General features: G+C 39.4%; 1 protein-coding gene and 2 pseudogenes across 2 annotated transcripts in view, besides 1 other annotated feature; all 3 read right to left on the bottom strand.

Annotated features, from left to right (window-relative positions):
* The window catches only part of SNX9 (sorting nexin 9), a 121832-nt gene that overhangs the window by 5051 nt on the left and 95224 nt on the right, over nt 1-21557 (bottom strand). For both annotated transcript variants that reach the window (NM_016224.5, XM_011535886.4), the window contains 7 exons: nt 18366-18496; nt 12813-12916; nt 11325-11428; nt 7755-7832; nt 3987-4063; nt 2504-2593; nt 1280-1394 (listed from right to left, as the gene is read on the bottom strand). In NM_016224.5, the coding sequence (NP_057308.1) occupies nt 1280-1394; nt 2504-2593; nt 3987-4063; nt 7755-7832; nt 11325-11428; nt 12813-12916; nt 18366-18496 (699 nt within the window). The remainder of the gene's footprint in view (nt 1-1279; nt 1395-2503; nt 2594-3986; nt 4064-7754; nt 7833-11324; nt 11429-12812; nt 12917-18365; nt 18497-21557) is intronic.
* Nucleotides 5770-5859, bottom strand: RNU6-786P (RNA, U6 small nuclear 786, pseudogene; annotated as a pseudogene).
* Nucleotides 9055-9556: an enhancer, noted in NCBI's record as "NANOG hESC enhancer chr6:158351503-158352004 (GRCh37/hg19 assembly coordinates)". NCBI's record gives its function as "activates a minimal SCP1, AML or CMV promoter by ChIP-STARR-seq in primed H9 embryonic stem cells {active_cell/tissue: H9 hESC(primed)}" and the evidence as "EXISTENCE:reporter gene assay evidence [ECO:0000049][PMID:30033119]".
* On the bottom strand, nt 15351-15625 carry HSPE1P26 (heat shock protein family E (Hsp10) member 1 pseudogene 26; annotated as a pseudogene).

The following is a 21557-nucleotide window of genomic DNA, read 5'->3' as shown; positions in this document are numbered from 1 at the left end:
GGGACAACTTTCTTCATGTTTGCTGAATACATGGATTCCTTCTTTCTCTGTCCCCCCTGCCCCTGCCCCCAACTCTAGAGGAGTCTTCGTCATCAGAGGACCTCATTGCCTCCCTCGGATGCCTCCTATGCCGCCTTCTCCCAAACCCTCCAGGCTGAGAAAGCCAGCGGCTGCACAGATTCCCATGACATGCAAACTGTTCTACATTTTACATTCAGTTACTTGAAGTTATACAAAGCTTTGTATTTCTCAATTTGGATAACCTCAAACACAAGTTCAAAACCAAACTCCCCATTTCAAACCCTTCAAAACCCGAAACTTCAATCAGGGTTCCTCGTTTTTGCCGTAGTGGCCTGGCTCTGGACACCTCCCTCATCCTTCTCTTTCTCCCATGAATGCCCCAGTCTTGAAAGCTGTTCCTTGGAAAAGCCTGCAAATGTGCTTCATTCTCTTCTCCCCAGTACCACATCTTTAGGCCCTCAAAGCTCAGACTACAACAGTGAGATGGTCTTCTGGCTGGGCTCTTGGACAGTGTCTGCATCTTCCAATCTCCCCTCCATAACCAGCAAATCCTTCTCCCTTGAGGATTGATTTTTTTTTACTCCCTTTTAATGGCTTCTTAATGCCTGCATCAAGTCTAGAGCTTTCAAGTTCCTTCACAATCAAAATTTATTTCCCAATAACCTCTAAGTATGTTTTACTCTTTCATGCCCATGACACAATCTAGCACCACAATTTTGTGGCTTTTGTTCCTAACAGAACACGCTCTCCATTCTCTGCCCATCCAAGTGCCATCCACCCATCCGCCAACAGGAAAAATCCACTTGCTGCCCTCATCTGCTCAAAAACACTCAAACCTATAGAAATTCATCTTTTTTTTTTCTTGACACAAAAAAATTGTGCCTAAAATGACACACCCAAACCCCTTCACATTCCATGATCCCAAGGCACGCAGGTTACAGACTGCTAAAAGCTGGGCTCTGGCATTTAATAGAGCATTATGATACCACAGATTACAAAAGGAATCTTAAATGTCTCTCAGAAATAATAAAATGTACAGTTTTAATCAAGCTGTCATCTATAGCCAGATAAGGTGGACAGGTGAAAAATTAAATAAATATTACAGATTTTCATCAGCACCGGGATCCTGCAAACGAGGGGCTTAAAAGGTCTCACTTACTTAACTGCTGCTCACATCTGGATTTCTCTCTATCAAGGGAAACTTTGCTGGGGAAAAAAAAACTTCCACCAGCACCTCATAAGGACCCTTTCATCTTACCTTGCAACGCGTAAGACATGATGCTGACTCTCTTCACCATGTTCTGTTTGTCTTGTAGGGTGATTTTACTTGTTGCAACTAGTTTGTCACTTTCTTTCACTTTTTCTATTGCTCCCTGTGAAATATAAAATGCAACAGTATGAATAAAGCTGAAATGATTAGTCATTAGTTTAAAATATAACAATGCTAATATATTCTATAACTGATTTGCTACTGAACAGGAAATACCTCCACAAAATAAGAAGAGAGGAAAGCATCTAAATTTAACTTCCTTCAAGTCCCTTGGAAGCAAAAAGGTTGCTATTCTTGACAAATGTCACTAAGCTAAAATGAACAGTTTTATGCTACAACAAAAGAGAAAAGCAAACAGCACACCATCTCTGTAATATTCAGAAGCCGCTGCCATTTGAGGAGTAGCACGTAATGGAAATCAGGCATTAGCAGGTTTTGGAAGTCATGTGGCTAGGTACAGGGCAGCATGTGCACACAGGCACTCTCTCTCTTTTTTTATACAACAGAATATTTTATAAGCTAGTGCCTAAGTGTGCTGATTCTAAGTCCTGGGCTTTCCTTTGATTTTTTAAGAGGCGCTGAATCCATTTAAAGACTCAGATGGAAGCGGCTAGAAAAGCTGCCAAACATTTCCCACTCCAGTGTCATCACGCTGCTCGTTATTTACCGCTGTCTGGAAGGAACAACTCTATACTCATGCATTAATTAGGCTCCAGGCCTACAACTCTGATGCTGCTGGCATACATTTCGACAGCAAGCTAATTTTTCTGAGTTTTATATTAAGTTATCTGAAGTTGTACAAACCTAATTTACCTATGGTACCCCTTCATGATATTTAAGTTATAAAGCAGAATGCTAAAATGGCCACATGCCAGGACTGTTAAGATCACAGACCAGCCCTTTGCAGAGATTTTCCTAACAAATCCAAGTACATCATAATATACGATAGACTACTATGGTTGACATAAAATATAAAATACTCACAACTCATGCCTGAGGTGATGTACAGATTTTTAAAAAGGGAGAGAAAACCAGAATTCATATGTGAGGACACCCCAAACCAATGTCAAAATTCAGTTACAAAACCTTTCTAATGGGAATTATAGATTGTTTCTTTTTTAATAATAAACATATAAAACCAATACTGACTACTGCGCACATCTGCCTCCTTCACCTGCTGTTGTCTTCTATAAATGTCTACGATCAGGTTACCTTGTGAGTGCCAATGATGTCAGGGAAGCAGCCAAGAAAACCTTTATACTCGTGATTACATTCCATCAGGAAATGGAGATCTTTCTTTGGCTATAACAAGATACAAGCTGATTGTTACTGGCAGAGAAATTCAGAAAATCAAGGAAAAGAGAACTATTATACCCAAAGACTATAAATCCTGCATGTGCTACACTAAATTATTGAGTGTTAAGCATTCAGATCACTTTTTCTAAAAGAAAATAACTCCCAAGACTGCCATACTTTGAATCATATGTTGTAAAGAAAACAACAAAACATCATGTAATTTTTAAGTTGGTTTGTAAAATTAGTTATTTTGACGTGGCCCAAAATAATACCACCATGAAGGAAGTTCAGCTAATGCTGTATGTTTACACACAAACAAATGAGTTGTTGTAGTTTAACTTCTAAATATGAGCAGAGAATATAAAAATATTAAAACTAATCATTTTAAGTGGTAATTTTAAATTTTTCCATTTTTTCTGAATTATAACTTTAATAGCTATGTTATTAAAATGAATGCTTTTTTAGAAGTATCAGCAAAGTAGCCCACAACCACATTAGTGTGTGTACACATGTGTGCATCCATACACATAGTTTAAAGTCATCTGAAAAAAAATTTTTTTTAATTAAGGGATTAGAAAATAACTTAGATTCTTCTTAAGGGAACTTATTATCTGTTATCTAAAAAGCCCCTGAAACTGGGGTACTAAAGACTCCAATAAAAGCTATGTAGCTATGACAAGGACCTACCCTGTCCTGGGGACTGTAGCAGGTGCTTTTTATTTATGAGCTATTAAATCTTAAGAATCATACAGGGTAGGCACTACCACTGCAGATTAACAGATAAGGAAACCACAGCTCAGAGAGGCTAAGCAATGGTCCATACAGATCTGAGCCAGCATTCTTTCCTGTTCTTTAGAATCCCCTGATGGCTAAGAACAGATCAGAGGCATCAATACTGGAGTGCATTCATTTAGATGTCTTTTTTTCTTCTGAGATAGGGTCTCGCTCTGTCACCCAGGCTGGAGTGCAGTGGTATGATCATGGCTCACTGCAGCCTTGACTTCCCGGGCTCAAGCAATCTTCCTACCTCAGCCTCCCGAGTAGCTGGGACTACAGGTGTACACCACTACACCCAGCTAATTTTTGGGGGTTCACTGTGTTGCCCAGGCTGGTCTCGAACTCCTGGACTCAAGAGATTCACCCGCCTTGGCCTCCCAAAGTGCCAGATTACAGGTGTGAGCCACTGTGCCTGGCCTATTTAGATTTCTTGATGACAAATGTATTCATCCACTTTGTCTTAACCTAAGAAACCATGATTAAACACAATTAAAAAAGATACACAGAAACAGAAAAGAAGAGGGTACTTATTTGGGACGTTTGTCCTAAGACAGGTTTTAAATTAAATATGTGGACTAGATAGCAACAAATCTTAATTGGAATTGTGTGATTATGTTAGTACCTGTTCTGCCACGAGACTGGCAATTTCTTCATAAGTCTTTCCTGCTTCTGTTATTGCATCATTGAGATCTGTTTCACCTGAAAATGATCAATTTTATCAGTGGTTATAAGTTATGCATATTTTCTTTTCACTTGTTAAAATTTTATTATTGATTTTATTGGTAAATTTTATTATAGAAACTTTCAAACATTTTCAAAACTATTGGGAATAGAATGAATGCCCATCACCCACCATCTGCCTTCCCCACTGGCAGCTCTCGCCAGCCTGTGTTCGTCTACACCCCGACCCGCTTTCACCGGACATCAGCATCTCATTCATAAATCTTGCCTAATAGATGAGGACTCTAAAACATGAGGCAGTACCATTATGACACCTATGACGAGACTGTCATTCGGCTATAATGAGGCCTCTCAGGGAGAGCTGGCTGCTTGAATCAGGATGTAAAGGTCCATACGGCACAGAACTGATGCGTTTCTTAACTCTGTGGATTCTTCTCCCTCGGCCCCTTTTTTCCCTGCACCTTTCTTTTCGTGGGGTGTTGAATTTGTCGTGTGCCCTGGTGCCTGCATTCTGGATGCTGCTGGCTGTGTCTCTGGTGATATGTCACACACTCCCCTGTCCCTGTGTTCTCTTCACACTGGCTATTAGACCTAGAGGCCTGATCAGAGTCACACACCACCAGTTCAGTTATTTCTACTCTTAGAATGTTAGAAAATGATCGTTACCTAGAATGACCATTGTCTGGATCTTTTATTTTAGTATGAGTTTGCAAAATGGTGCTATTCTATTTCTACCATTCCTTCTTTATTAGCTGAAATACTTCCATAAGGATCAACTTTCCTTTATCAATATTCCGGTTACCCAGAGGTAGAGTTTGAACAGGAAAAGCAGGTTAAGTGCTTAATTCTTTCTCTTTATAGTTTTCAAAATAATGAGTTAATCCACCACCATTCTCCAAAAGTAACTGAGATTAATTTCTTAAAAAGCATCTTTATAATTCTGGATTTAAAAATATTTGATATGCTTCATTCCACATTAATTATTATTTTCACTAATGCTCACATTTTCTTTTCTTTGGCCAGTGGTAGGCTCTTCCAATTGGTATCTAAGTCTTTTGATAGGAACCCTGGTTCACTGTGGTGGGACGTGGACCTTACGATTGGTGCCAGGGAATGCTTCTTGCTACTGGATTGGGTAACTGTTTCTAGAGCTTTAACAGAAAGGCAAACTGTATTTTTTTTTAAGAAGGAAATCATGTAATGAGTTCACACTGTTTCCAAAGCAAATTTATGACTTTAGGGGTTTTCTTCATTTATTTTAAAACTTTTTATTTTAAAAATCTTAATTGCTAACAACAGTAACATAATTACGTATTTGCTTTATCCTACAATATGTAAATAGTTTTAGAAGTTTTAGAATAACAATACCAACATGATATTGACTACATGTTTAGTGAAAACAACTAACATTCTTATAGTCTTTCTGACCTTGAGGCACCCGCTCCTGGGGGCATATAAAATGCCATTTTAAGGTGTTTTGAAACAATTCCTCTGTGTGCTATGCCTTCATTTTGATGTATCATTTGTTTTATTTTGCTTTTGATTAGAAATTTTTTTTCCATTTTGATTTAAATTTGTTTTCTAATAATTATGTAAAGCATTTACATTATTCCAAAGTCAACTGTACAAAACAAGATATAATCAGTTTACCTTCCATCTCTCTCTCTCCTTCCCTATAATCATTTAAGAATTTTTATTGCTTATATTTCCATATGCTCATCCATAAGAATATGCAATGTTTCATGGTTTTGTGCAGGGGCCATGCTAATAGTCTGTATTATTTCAAGTTAGTACATGAACTTGTAAAGGAGCACTGGAAGTTATTTTTACTATAATCACAATATTTCCAGGAATCAAACCCATTTACATTATTGCAAGATCGCATAGTATAGCACTGCTCTAAGACGCCAACACATCTGAGCAAGTGGATGTGATGGACACAGTACTCCACACTGCTGACCTTCACTGTCCTTTGTAATGGGAGAAAAGCCAGTCAACAGGAACTTGAATGCTTCCTTAAAATATTATCTTAAGTAGAATGATATTCAACATAAAACATACACTGAGTATTTTTAATACTTGAAAAAGTGCTATTTGCAATATGGAACATTTAATTATGTATTGATAATCACAGTCCAGAAAATGTTAAAGAATCACGAAGCAGCTCCCAGTGGGGAACCCATGGATGCCTGTGGAGCCGGGCCATCATGATGGCCAAAATTCCAGCATCTCTAGGACAAATCTTCTCACCCTGTTGAGACATCACAGAGCCACCATGCTAAAAGGGCTCCAAGACCTCTGCCTCCTCCCTAAGCAATGGGCGTGGCTTGCTCTCAGCTCTTCCATCACCCACTTGTTACCTGGGCCAAGATGCTTCTCTGTTCTGGCCTTGAGTTCCCAGTCTAGACCTCAAAGCCCGCTTCTGGTCTAAAAGTGTCAACTGTAAGACATGGTAAGGCCAGGGCAATGAGAACTATTGCCATGTGGGAGCCCTAAATCTTACATTTTGGTGAGAAACTTCTTATTAGTTTATTATTAAAATATTCAGAAACCGACATCCAAAGCACTGTCTGCCTTGAGTATCAGGATCAACACCTGTACCAATTCTACCACTTCTATAAGTGACAGGAGATAACAGATTTAATAGGTGCCACCTAGCTGACAAATGCTTTTTCTTCTTTTTTTCTTGAGATGGGGTCTCACTCTGTTGCCCATATTGGAGTGCAGTGGTGTGATCATGGCACACTATAGCCTCGACCTCCTGGGCTCAAGCGATCCTTCTGCTTCAGCCTCCAGAACAGCTGAGACTACAGGTGTGTGACACCATGCCTGGCTAATTTTTATTTTATTATTTTTTTGTAGAGATGGGGTCTCCTTATGTTGCCTGGGTTCCTTTCCCTTTTAATAAAGAAAAAGAGCTAACTTGCTCTCATAAGTGCTGCCAATGTAAACCACAAAGGGATCCCTGGGTAAGATACACATTTATAGGATAAGCTGAAACAGTTATGAGTTAAGGAGAAAACAGGCAACACACACTTGTTACTTGGTCAAACATTTTTCCTTGAAATGGCCTTGATGAAATCTGGCTTTTTTTTTTTTTTTTTTTTTTTTTTTTGAGACAGGGTCTTGCTCTGTCACCCAGGCTGGAGTGCACTGGTAAGATCATGGCTCAGTGCAACCTCTGCCTCCCGGGCTTAAGTGATCCTCCCACCTCAGCCTCCCAAATAGTTGCAACTACCTGTATGCACCACCACACGTGGCTAATTTTTTATTTTTTTGTAGAGATGGGGGTCTCACCATGTTGCCCAGGCTGGTCTCAAACTCCTGGACTCAAGTGATTTGCCCACCTCAGCCTCCCAAAGTGTTGGAATTATAGGTGTGAGCCACTGTGCCCAGCCAAATCTGGCCTCTGTCACAGGAAGACTTGGCAGAGAAATGAAACTGATGGCATTGAAACAAAAGCGCTACACCAGAGAGCAAAAAAAGGCAAACGAGCTAGCAAGAAAATACAAATTATAACCACCTTTGGCTTTTCTCAAAAGTCCTAGGATGAGGGTGCAAAAGTCCTTAGTGCGGCAGCCTAGCCAATTTACACACCCACAACCAGGGTGCTTCACTGAGGAGGGAGTTAGCGTCTGCAGGATCCTAAGCAGGTGACAGGTCTACATAAGGCTCTAAAGGCCCACTGGATGAATGAAGAAAGACGCACCTTGATAGCCACTGGAACTGAACACTGTGGCCAAACTCTGCAAGGCCTTTCCTATCTTCTGATATTCCTTGGGTAATGCTGAAAGACAAAAAGGAATAAACGATTAGTCTTCTGAGCAAACTGAAATGGGATTAAACTATTTCCTAAAAGTGATTACAGTAACTTTTGAAGTGATTCAAAATAGTCTATATATTCCTTCACAAAATACTGTTGCAAAAGTGATTGTTTTTTCAATTGATTTCTTTCGATTATTTTAATTGACTGTTCAACTAATGGTGGATGCTATTATTACTGACAATCACTCCTACATTCTCATTCACCAAATGAGATGTAAGTGAAATGGAAGCTCCTTTAGATGATTTCTAGCTTACAAAGTACTTCTAGCGACACCGCGCTTGATCATCATGATAGCCCCTCTACCAGATGCAGAGACACCATCCTCATGCTGAGGATTAGGAAAATAAGGCTCAGATAACTGACTTGCCCAAGGTCACATGGCTAATAAATGCTGGACATGGACTTGTGATTCCAAATACGTAGCCTTTCCCACTCTGTTACAGGTGCATAAATGACCATTTGCAAACCATAACCACCAAAGACTGAAAGCAACAAGGTATGGAGAAAAATACAACAGTCAGACTTCGCATGACCAGGGAAGAGGGGTCTGAGTTTTCTCATCTGCATGAAGAGATGATTTCAATAAATGACCCCTAAGGTTTCTTTTTAAGGTGCTAAGATTCCAGGATCACTTTGGAGAACTTCCCAAGAGTCTCTGCACCTTAAGCTACTTTCTTTGCATCTGTATGGAGTCCCCTTAAATGGAGCATCTGTTTGCCTTTCAAAAGAAACCATTATTTGCATTTAAAGACTCACTGCAGTATTAAAGGAGAAAAAGAAAACTTTTAATGTTTCTTTAAAAAATATTTAGGCCAGAGACATTTGAGGTAAGGTCTATAAGCTGCAGTTATCAGGAAACATGAATCCAAATTACACGAGCTCAGTTAATTTTAATAAATTGTACCCCTGTGGTACCTCAGTTTTGCCTCTCTACCTAAAGGCACCTGGCATGTGGTTCACCATGCAGAGTGTGTGCTAGAGTTTTCATTCTACACATTAGGAATTTTAAAGAACTACTTTGAGAAACAGGAGGAGATATGCCTGAGTCAATCCCTTTCCCCACCCCACAAAAGAGCGGCCTGAGGCCAGTATTCCCTACTTTCTACATTTAGCCTTGTGAATTACACAGGACATGGAGTTGATCAGACATTAGACATAAGGGATTTAATTTTTAAAAAGATATCATAATCCCAAATTTTTATGATATCCTTAAAAAATGCAATTGTAAAATTTACACTCAGGAAAAATGGCTTTCAAAGAACATACAGATTTAAATGATGTGTTATGATGGTCTTGCAAGAGTTTACAGTCAAAATTAATTCATTGCCTTTAAAAACTGAATTCTTTCATTTATACTTTAGAGCAACGGTCCCCAACCTTTCTGGCACCAGGGACTGGTTTCATGGAAGACAATTTTTCCACAGATAGACAGTGGGTCGGGGGGATGGTTTGGGGATGAAACTGTTCCACCTCAGATTATCAGGCATTAGATTCTCATAAGGGCTCACAAGCTTGTATGCGTGGCTCTTAATAGGGTGCAAATTTCTATGAGAATCTAATGCCACCGCTGATCTGACAGGAGGCGGAGCTCAGGCGGTAATGTGAGTGATGGGGAGCACCTGTAGATAGAGATGAAGCTTCACTTGCCTCCTGCTGTGCGGTAATGGTCCATGTACCAGTCCATGGCCTGGGGATTGGGGGCCTCTGCTTTAGAGAACAACGTCAACTTTGCTTTTTGTTCCTGAGTCATCCTCTATGACTAAAGTCTTGACACAGGTTTTGTTTTCTAGATGCTGCATTTGTATACATTATTTTCTCAGGGCTAATTCTATATATTTAGGATACAGCATCATATTTCTTTGCCATGGGAAAGAAACAACTGTTATTCCTGATGTCTGCCCCTCAAGCACGAACAGCTGGTATGCTACAAGTTGTTTTGTTGGTATAAGATAATATGTGGATGGTAAAGCACCACTGGTACTGGTATTACTGCTAGTAGAGGAAGAGGCAGAGGTAGTTATTGGCCAATGGTTGAGGTAAGGCAGGGCCTGGCAAACTTCCTCTGCAAAGTGCCAGATAGTAAACGTTTTAGGCTTTATGGAGCCACAAGTTTCTGTTGAAACTACTCAACTCTACCATTATGACACAAATGTAGCCAAAGACAATATACAAATAAATGGGCATGGGTGTGTTCCAATAAAACTTTATTTACAAAATAAGTGGCAAGCCAAATATGGTGCTCGGACCATGGTTTACTGACTCCTGATGTAAGGCTTTGGATTTTCAGATCTGGATTGAATAGTAATACTGACATTGTCTTTGCTGTGCTATCTTATTAATTCATCTACAAGTCACTCCATATTTAGTTTCCTCTCTTTAAAATTATTATTGGATTTCAAATTCTGATTGTTTTCTTTTTTTAGTGTAAAAATATCACCTTTAAAAAAATCATTACAAGAACAGATCCCTTTCCTATGCTGAGCATCAAAGGCTGATAGAAAAGTAGGTATATGTTACTCATAATTCAAAATATAAAACATTTTTTTTAACTGAATACAACCAATATTCCTGTATGGTGTTATGAGGTGAAGGCCAGAAAATTCTTAGTGATAGATTAGAAGGCCCTGTTCTCTAGAGGTTAAGACACAGCAATAAGGGCAGACCAGATATAAAGGAGAGAAGTCCTAGGACTCTAAGGGAGTTAAAGGCATCTGCGCATGGGACAGCAGTGCAGTCGCAGCATTTCAGGGCCTGACAAGTCACTCTGCAGCCTCTGAGCCTGTGGGTGTAACAGGGCAGCAGCCCGTGGCATTAGCCCTACAGCTGGATACGGGACTATTTTTCTATCCTGGGCCACATGTGTGGTGACAGAGCTGCACAGTTCTAGGAAATACAGGAAAAACCTTCAGCAGAATGAAAGCCTACAAACAAAGGAGAAGGAGGGAGGCAGGAAGTTCTTAGGGACACAGCAGAGTGGTCAGAAAGCCGTGACTGACAGCGACACTCTCCCCTCGGCAGTGCTTCTGCTGTGACATATTTTCTACTACTAACTATATTGGTTTTTCTAAACACTATGGTTTTAGTCAAATACACAACATCTTACCAAATGGATGAAGATTAAAAAATAAAATCATGAGACTAAGAATAACTACAAGCACTCTGAAAACATGCAAAAATGATTAATTTTCCAAAGATTATAAAGCCCCAAATTACTGGAACTAATTAAGTGAACGTGGTGTTCCCTATGAGATTTCTTAACCTGGCTTTGCTGGTCAGTTTTCTGTGGTTTAACTCAGGTGAAGTGAGATCAAGCAGAATCACAGGAGGGACATTACTGCCGTCCACCAAATACACTTCTGTTCGAGGCAGCAGGTTCCCCTCTATGATAAGGGACATAAAACTGAGCCTGCATCACCCCCTACGAGCCCAGTGCACTGTGAGGAGTGGACTTACGGCCCGTGCAGCGCTTCCAGTGCTCCTGCCCCACCGTCAGCAGCTCCTTCACGCCGTCATCCATGGCCTTGGTGAACTTCCCCACAGCCTCGCACTTCTGCTCTCTGTGGGTGAAGGCGGCCGTCAGTCACATAAGCAGGAGAAACAGCACTGCTGTGGGGATACTCGGGCCAAATATAACCACAGACACTTGTTTTCTTGCATGATAACAACTCCCCTTTCACTAAGTTAGCCTTAAATACAGGCTTGATGCAGACATTTAAAGAACTACTTAAAAAGCGCTGATTTATATTTTAACTTCGCTTCCTTTCTGCCTATACAATTCTTTGTGAATTTTAAAATTATTCTAAAGTAAATAAAATAATAATTTCTTGAATATCTTATTTAGGAAAATTCCAATCACTGGGGGGACCATCAAATCTATAAAAGAATAACAGGGGTTGCTAATGCTAGCTGGCCATTCATTCCAAGTACTCCATGAAACGGAGACAATAACCTGGATACACAATCACCTAAGTGATCCTAAAGATACCAGTTCTTTCTAAGGATGTCAAAAGTGTATTTACCAACCTGAAAAGATCACAATATACTGTTAGATGAAAAAAGCAGATTATAAAACAAAATGTCTAGTGTGAGGTCATTTTTGTTTAAACAATCTTTCCTATAATTACATACGTACAGAGGAGGATTTGGGAGACTAAACACTAACATATTAACACTGATTTTCTCTCTGCGTGGTTGAAGGGTTATGTGTGTGTGTGTGTGTGTGTGTTACTTGTCTATACTTTTGGTAACACATACGCAATAATTTTATGATAACAAAGCTTAAAATTATGTAGTCCCAGCTACTCGAGAGGCTGAGGCAGGAGAATGGCGTGAACCTGGGAGGCGGAGCTTGCAGTGAGCGGAGATCGTGCCACTGCACTCCAGCCTGGGTGACAGAGCAAGACTCCGTCTCAAAAAAAAAAAAAAAAAAAAAAAAAAGCTTAAAATTAAAAACCACGCAAATTTCTTTTAAGTCCGTAAGAGAAAAGGAACTACTCCAAAGTTTCAACTGACCCTGCATTTAAAAAACTACATGATTAAAATCAATCAACAGATTAAAAAAGCATACAGAAAAAGCAGGTTAGAGACTGCTTCCTCAAGGCAATGTTCAAAGAGATTTGCTGTCTGAATATTGAGTGGGTTTTAGGTGGCTCCATGCCGCTTGGTTTCATCACACTATTGGAAACAGCTACTCAGCACCGTGTCAACTATGAAATCACTGGCTTCAAGGTGAAAGAAAGATTGTAATTTGATGTTGCGGTTAGAAAGACAGTACTTCTATGTACAAATGATGTTTCCCTTGTCATTGGACTACAAATCCCACTCATTTCATAAAAGTCTAGTCTGATTTGAGTTTCGGCTGCGGCTACACTGGCTGAAGCCTGATGGCCAAAGGAGGAGGGTGCGGATTGAGAAGAAAGAAAACCTGGCAGCGTCTCTCACATTTCTACTAAGTCCAAGTCAGGTGCCTCTGGTTCCATGGTGGAAAATATCATGACTCCCGCCAGCTCATCTCTCTCGGCCTTCCTCTTTCCAGTTTTCCATTCCTGTAAATGAGAATGTTGTAAGGTTCAAGTGGAGAGCACAGTCAAACTGGTCTTCAAAATTCCCAAACAGGACCAGCTCATTTATCACCTTTATCTTTCTAATTTTCAGGAAGCAGCTCCCACTCTATCTCCCTCTGCACCATGGACTAAATACCTTTATACTCCGAATGTAATCTCAGGGCATGAACAGTGTCATTCCACAGAATGGTCCTAATGGGACCAAATCTTTAAAGAATGAACCAATTCAGCCATGTTCTCTTTCCAATGGCTACCTATATAAAAACAGCAAACAGAAACACCCTATACTTTTTTTTTTTTTTTTTTTTTTTTGAGACAGAGTCTCACTTTGCCTTCTAGGCTGGAGTACAGTGGCATGATCTCAGCTCACTGTATCCTTGAGCTTCCAGGTTCAAGCAATCTTCCCACCTCAGCCCCCAAGTAGCTGGGACTTTAGGCGCATGCCACCATGCCTGGCTAATTTTTGTATTTTTTGTAGAGATGGGGTTTCACTGTGTTAGCCAGGCTGGTCTTGAACTCCTGTGCTCAAGCAATCTGCCCACCTCAGCCTCCAAAAGTTCTGGGATTCCAGGCATAAGCCACTGTGCTCGGCCCACCCTATGCATTCTGACCTAGTGCCTCAAATATTTAGGTTATCTGTTTTCTAAAAAGGTAAATGCTTTTCTAAAATATAAGACAGAAACCAGTATTATGAGCTATTTTTTTAAAAATATTAAGATATACACACACAGAGTACCCAAATCAAAAATATCCAGTGCAATGAATTGTCACAAAGTGAATACTTGCCTAACGACCAACTAGGCCAGGAAGGAGCAAAGAGCTCCCATTCCAAAAGCCCCCGCATTGTCCTTTCCCCAAACACTGCTACCTCTTCCCTTCCCCACAAAGGTAACCGGTAATCTCTCTCTTATGGTTTTCATTTCTTTGCTTTTCTGCTATGGTTTGAATGTGTTCCCTCCAAAATTCATGTTTTGAAACTTAATAGCCAATGTGATAATATTAAGAGGTGGGGCCTTTAAGAAGTGATTAGGTCATGAGAGCTTCTCCCCTTGTGAATGAGATTAGCATCCTGATAAAAGGGCTTGATGGAGGGGGTTTGTCCCTTTTTGCTCTTCCACCTTCCACCATGTGGGGACTCAGCATTTCTCTCCTTTGGAGGATGCAGCCCTCACCAGACAGCAAATGCTGGTGCCTTGATCTTCGACTTCCAGCCTCCGTAACTGTGAGAAATAAATTTCTGTTGTATATAAATTATCCAGTCTCAGGTATTTTGTTACAGCAGCACAAATGGACTCAGACACTTTGTTTAGAGTTTTACCACCTACGCATGCATGCTACCCTGTCCTGCTAGTTTTTCAAGCTAGCAAAGAGCCCTATAAATGCGTTCTTTGGTGCCTGGCTTCTTTTGCTCAATCTTGCTTAGGAACTACAGTCAAAATCTTGTGTAGAACTACAGTTCATTCATTTCATTGCTGTATAATATTCTACTTTATGAGTAATCCCCAATTTATTTATCTATTCTACTACTGGTAGCCACCCTTATCAAGTTATGAATGAAGCTGTTATGTAGATGTCTCCTGGTGTCTGTGTGCCTGCATTTCTATTCAGTACATATCCAGGAGTGGAAATGCCAGGTCATATGAGAGGGTTCAACTTCAGTAAATGCCAAACTTTTCCAAATTAGTCTTACCATTTTCCCCCAACACGTTATGAATCCCAGCAGCATCTCACCTCACCAAGATGACACTTGGTATGGTCAGTTTTAGCCATTCTGGCACGTGTGTAGTGGCATCTTATTGTGGTTTTAATGTGTATTTATTGATTGCTAATGAGATTAGGTACTTTTCTACACATCTGTTGTTGATTCAGATACCTTATTTTATGAAGTACATGATCACATCTCCTATTTTTCCACTGGGCTTACTGATGTTTTCCTATATTCTAAAATCTAGCCCTTCATTGCTTATATATGTTGCAAGTATCTTCTACTCAGTAGCTTGTTTTTCGCTTGTCATGGCTGAAAAAAGAAGTTCTAATGTAGTCTAATTTATCCACATCTTCCTGCATAGTCTTTTTCATGTCATATTTCAGAAATTCTTCCCTGCTCTCTAGGATAGGAGGATGTTCCACGTTATCTTCTGTAAGCATTACTATGTTGCTTTTCACATTTAAATCTGCGAGCCACATGGAATTCATTTTCAAGAAGACCATATACAATGAAAACTTTCAAACATATACAAAAGAAGAAAAGTATAATAAACCCCCCAGGTTCAGCTTCGATAATTACCAACACTTTTGCCAATCTTTTTAAAAATATCATTAGTTTAGTAAAAGAGATACGGAAGTCATTTACATGATGAAGGCTTTCGGAACTGTGGTGGCATGTGATGCCATTTCAGTAGGGATTTACTTCGGCTTACACACTTTCCAAGAATGGCACCACCTCTAAATAAGAAATGACCTTTGTCTAGAACTACTTTGCTGCCTCCATATTCTGGGAAAACTTTAACTTTCACTGAGCTAACTGGTTAAATCTTTCCACCCCCACCTTTAAGGTCTGATCCAATAGCTACTACTGTTGCTTGCAATACTTTTGAGATTTTTCTGGAAGTATAATGACTCCTTTGGCTATAGTTTTGGGTGCTTTCCTTTCAACCAAAACTCAGAGTGAAAGAAACTTTCCAAGTGCCTGTCTGCTGTGACTCCACAGGAGACCCACAGCTCCACCTTCAGCACATGTGGCCAAGGGAAAAGCTGCCCAGGCACCACTGCTCCCCGGGAGGTGCCAATCTTGTTTCATAGGTATTCTCCTCCATTTTACCTCTGGGATTTTTTTTTTCTTACTTTAAAGCTAATTTGAAATATAATACATACATATATATATTTATATATATTTGAGACAGAGTTTTGCTCTGTTGCCCAGGCTGGAGTGCAGTGGCATGATCTTGGCTCACTGCAACCTTTACCCCCGGGTTCCAACGATTCTCCTGCTTCAGCCTCCCAAGTAGCTGGGATTACAGGTGTGTGCCACCACACCTGGCGAATTTTTGTATTTTTAGTAGAGACAGGGTTTCGCCATATTGGCCTGGCTGGTCTCGAACTCTTGACCTCAAGTGATCCGCCACACCCAGCCTGGGACATGTTTTAAAAACATAACAATATCAATAACAACCTTAATAAAATCAACTGCAGATTGTAGTGAGGTAGCGAGCACATTTCATTTCCCTGCATTTTGCCATCCAACTGACCCAGCACCAATTACTGAAAAGACTATCCTTTGCCTACTACGCCCAGTGCCATCTTTGTCATAGATCAAGTGTCTACTCTGCTCTACTGGTTGGTTTGTCTAGCCTTATGCCAATGCCATGCTTTTAAACTTTTTTAGCTTCACAATGAGTTCTGATACGCAATAAAGTCCTCCTCCTATTTCATTATTTTCCAAGAGCATCCTGGCTATGCTTGGCATTTTGATTTTCTACATATGACATCTTTATTGTTTCCAGTCCATGAGACGCAGTATTAGAAAATTTATTTAGGTCTTCTATTATTTTTCTCAATAATGTTTCATAGTTTTCTATGTAGATCTTTTGTACATTTTCTTGTATTTATTCCTGGATATTTGATACTTTTGATGTTACTGTAAATGACAGGTTATTTTTTTTTTAGATTTTCAATTTCTGTTTTTGCTGATAAATATGCAATGTCTTGTATCCAGCTACCTTACTAACCACTTATTTCTAATAATGTCTCTGCAGATTCTTTGGGGGTTTCTGTGTCTACCATTTATTTACACGAGCTGCTACTTACCACAGAATCATAGTTTCTATGTAGTTCTACAGTGTCATTTAGCAAGTGAGGAAATTCTGGCCCAAAGGGATTAAATACCTTCACTAAGACCACAGAGGCAGCTAGAAGTGGCACTAAGACCAGAACTCAAGGGCCCTGACTCCAAGTTCTTTCTTTTTTCTCTTATACCACTTTTATGACACGTTGATCCCTCTTTGAAGGTGGCATTTAAAAAAACCAACACAACTGATGTCTAGGATTTATTAACTCCACCATGCAGAAAACATGACCTTCAGAAATGCTTTCTAAATCAAATCCTTGGAAAATCTATCAAATAAGCTCTTGTTAAAGTCTTGTGGGAACCAGGAAGGCAACAAACTTGGAGGTGGTTCCCTGTAGTTTCTGTAACTACAAAGTAACCCAAATATTTACTGAATTCAAAGAACTTAGTTTCACTACTATATAGCTACATGACACACAGTGTGACTGAGTACCCTATCTCACCATAAACATATACAAATTCATAAGACATGGTGAGGAGACCTGTGATATACACAAATTCACAAAGACATGGTGAAGCATCTCCATGTTGTCTAATTCCCAATCTGGTGACATATAACATATCACATGAGCTGGTCAATTCTAGAAATAGTCAATAACTGAAAATAAGGCCCAAATATGTATGTTAAGTGTATGCATACACCTGTAAACATACACCGATAGAGCCCTAATATTTAAGACTTACTATGTGTTCACTTCAACAAGTGAAAATTACTACAAAGAAGTTTAGCAAGTAAACCTCTCGAAGTTCCAAGAGGGTATATGATATTCTATTATTTCATTAAAGACAAAAATAGCTTCATAATTTATTTCCCAGGCTGATAATGTATTTAGCATCTGCTGTGGCTTCTGGGCCAACTCCTGCTTTTATTCTTTAGGGTGCTGAGAGATGCAGTATTTGTTGAGAGAAATTGTGGAGGAAACATCTTTAGAGAATAAAATGATACAATAAGGAGTACAGTAAATGCTTACTGAGAGAGAAAACTATTTCCAAAGCAGACACTTTTGAGATGTCAGGCAGCCAACGTTTCCTTGATTTTAATGAAGAACAGATGACCACTGGCAGACTACAGGCCACAGGGGCAGGCAGAGAGAGAGGCCAGCACTGACTCTGGACTCACCATTACAGTGATGAAAATGGCCTGGCTCTGAGAAGAGCGGCTCATGTCTGCCTCTCCCTTTCCTGCCATCATGCTGTTACATTGTAAGGGCAACGTGATCGGGAAAATCAGTCACTCCACTCCCCTCACTTCATGCTGATAATACCTTCAGAGTTTGGGGCCTATCCTCCTATTTTTAAAAACATCTAGGGAAAAACTGCTGACCCTATTACATCCCTCACCCTGCCCCTGCCCATCTTGAGCCAACCCACTCCCAGTGTAGGGGGAAGCCCTTCTGGCAGGCAGTTCTTCACACATCATGACAAATTTCCTATGGTGGGGATTTAGGTTTCTGTCCCCTCACTGTCACTGGAGGAAGTGAGAAATAACTAACCAACATAATTTTAACTCCTTTCAGAAATAAGTTTGGTGTGAATGAGACAACTCTCAATATTCTCTGATGCCATATTAACACAATGTCCTACCTTCTCATCTCGGAAATTTAGGAACTGCTGGAAAACTTCACTTTCTGAGATTACTGGATGGCGACACATCCTGGTCATCCAGGCCTGAAGTCTCTCCATGCGCATTTTGATAAATTCCTCTTCAAAGCGGCCTGCAAGCGACACACCAAGAATGACATACAACTTTGTCTAAAATGAATGACTGTTACCATACTGTAACTGAAAAACCATTTCTATGTCTACTGGCTATTGGGTAGAAAGCTATTTAGCAAAAGGTAAACCATGGAGATTTTTAACTAATCTAAAAAACAAGCAACACAACGAATGCTCAAAGGCCCACAGGTAAGATGCAACAGACTTCAGTTTTTAAGAACATAATTCCAATTTAACATATTCACATATTGTGACAAGAATAATGACAACCTCAAGGTGCTACTTTCTTCAAGTATCCTTAAAGTACTAAAAAAAAATTAAATCTTATCTCAACATGAAAACCTGTCTCTTTCCTATAAGCTAACAGGCCAGTTTCTGTGTGGCCACATGAAGTCCTATAAGCAAGAAAGGAGTGATGAGTGGAATTTAATGTCATTCTTACAAACGACATGGTATTTCCATATTATCAAAATGTGTCCAAATGCAATATAAATTACATCTATACAAGTTTAAATTTAGCATTATGAAGAGTAACCCAAGGCTATAGCTTTTTTCCTCCAGGTATTTTAAATTACTTAAACTGAAATACCAAAGGAATTTTTCCACTAATGCAATAATGGAAGTTGCTATTCTGGAACTTGTGACTCTACTAAAACAGTTTAATGAGTGGTCCTTTCTGTTTTAAAAGTAGAAAGTCAGCTTGACAAGAATAGCATAACAAACATCAAGTGAACACTAAGAATGTTTATAAACCTACAAACAAAAACTACTATTAGTTGAAAGCCTTCTAGTGGTAGAAGTTCCAGCTATGGCCTGGAGAGATCAGCTAACCCTACCCCTCAAAAGCAACTATAAAGCTAGACAACAGTAATAAAAACAACCAAATGAGTGCTCTAGAAATCAACAAAAGGCGAATGGCCACCTGAGAAGTGTTTATGCTTGAAGAACTGAACTTCAGGCGACGATGGTGGAAATCTGTGGTGGTGGGAGGCTGCTCCTGTCTCCCCCGCATCTGCTGCCTGTGTGCCACCCACCCCACGTGTTCGACATGGTGGTACCACTAGGGTGGACAGGCTGTGAAGATGGGCAGCTGCAGCTTCTCCGTGAGGGTAGAAGGCTCGCTTGGAGTGATGGGAGATGCCATGTTCAATGGTGGTGTCAGTGGCAGTGACAATCTCAGAGACAGATGAACAGGAAGGGACAACAGCCCTGATAGCCAAGGTTGAACCATGCATATTCCAGGCTGAGGCTGTATGCATACACATTGGAGACCAGAGAGGGTCCAAGCCAGGCACACAATCCTGGTCAACTCTGAGGCTGTACATACAAGTAAAGGAGACACAAAAGGGTCTGGTAGAAAGTAAAAGCCAGGGCAACTTAAAAATGACCTGAGCTTTGAATGAGTTACATCGAGTTACAGTTACATTGACAGAGGACAGGAGCCCCAACTTACTGGCCTGAGGTGGTTGGGTACAACCTCTGTCAGTCAATCAAAGGCTTACTACCAATCCACAGACACAGGAGCAAACTCTAGGAAGACAAATATAAAACAAACAAACAAACAAACAAACAAACAGCAATAACTGAACTTCCAGGGAGACAGACTTCAGAGATTTAATCTTAGGCAAGTTACTTAACAAATAAAAAGCAGAAACAACAACCTTCAGAGAGGTAAACTCAGAATCTGGAGTTGCTAAAATATATTCTCAAAAATGTCCAGTTTTCAACAAAAAATTAAGAGATACGCAAAGAAATAGCAAGATATGAACCATACTGAGAAAAAAACAAACAGTCAATAGACACTATCTCTGAGTGTCCGCAGATGTTGAATTTGGCAGAAAAAAACAATGTGGCAGATAAAGCAGATTCTATAAGGATTTTCAAAGAACTAAAGGAAGCCTAAAAAATTAAAGAAAAATATGACAGAGAATCAACACACAGAGTTTCAAAAAGGAGAGAGAAGTTACCAAAAAAGAATCACATGGAAATTCTGGAGTTGAAAGTATAGTAATTGAAATAAAAAATTCACTGCAGATAAGGCTCAACATAAGATTTAAGGTAGCAGAAGAAAAAAAACACCTAGTGAATTTGAAGATAGATCAACAGAAGTTAACTAACATGAAGAACACAGAGAAAAAAAACTTAAACGTAAAATATTAGAATACATCAAGCACACCAAACACTTGTAATGAGAATCCCAGAGGAAGAAGAGAGAGTGAGACAAAAAATATCTGAATGACTGATCATGCATAGTAGAGTGGGCACGTGAGATAAACAGCATTAACAGCTGACTTGCTTTCTGACACAATGGAGCCAGATCGGTACGACTATCCTCTAAAAATAAAGACATACCCAGATAAATAATGAGATAATTCACTGATAACAGACCTGCATTATAAGAAGTATTAAAGGAAGTCCTTCAGGCTAAAAAGAAATTACTAAAGATGGTGACTTGAATCTGCAGAGACAAATAAGCAGCACCGGAAATATAAGGATTAATGTAAAAGATTCTATAGATATATTTTTTTCTAATTTGTTTCCTTAGTGTCTTTAAAAGACAAAAGACTGTAGAAAGCAGTAATTACCACAATGTATTGTTGGATTCATAACATACAGATGTAATATATATAAAAATAATGGCATAAATGAGGGAAGGGAATAAAGCTATATAGGAGAAAAATTTCTTTATTTTACTGGAATTAATATTAATCTAAAGTGCACTGTGATGTTAAAAAAGATGCATATTATATCCCTTAGGGCAACCACTATGAAAATAACTTCAAAAATTTAGCTTAAACAATGAGAGGAATTAAAACAATACACCGTAAAATATTTAACACAAAGAAAAGGCAGTAAAGGAGGAAAAAGAAGCAAACACAGAAAACAAATAACAAAATGGCAAATGTGAATCTAACCATGTCAATAATTATATTAAATACAAATGGCCTAAAAACCCCAATCAAAAGCAGAGATTGTCAGACTTGATAAAAAAGTAAGATCCAACTATCTTGCCTATAAGAGAAACAGCTTGATTTCAAAGGCACACATATACTGAAAGTA

Source organism: Homo sapiens, chromosome 6 (assembly GCF_000001405.40).
Source record: "Homo sapiens chromosome 6, GRCh38.p14 Primary Assembly".
Lineage (NCBI taxonomy): Eukaryota > Metazoa > Chordata > Mammalia > Primates > Hominidae > Homo > Homo sapiens.
The sequence above is the reverse complement of the archived record's forward strand: the minus strand, read 5'-3'. Positions and strand labels throughout refer to the sequence as shown.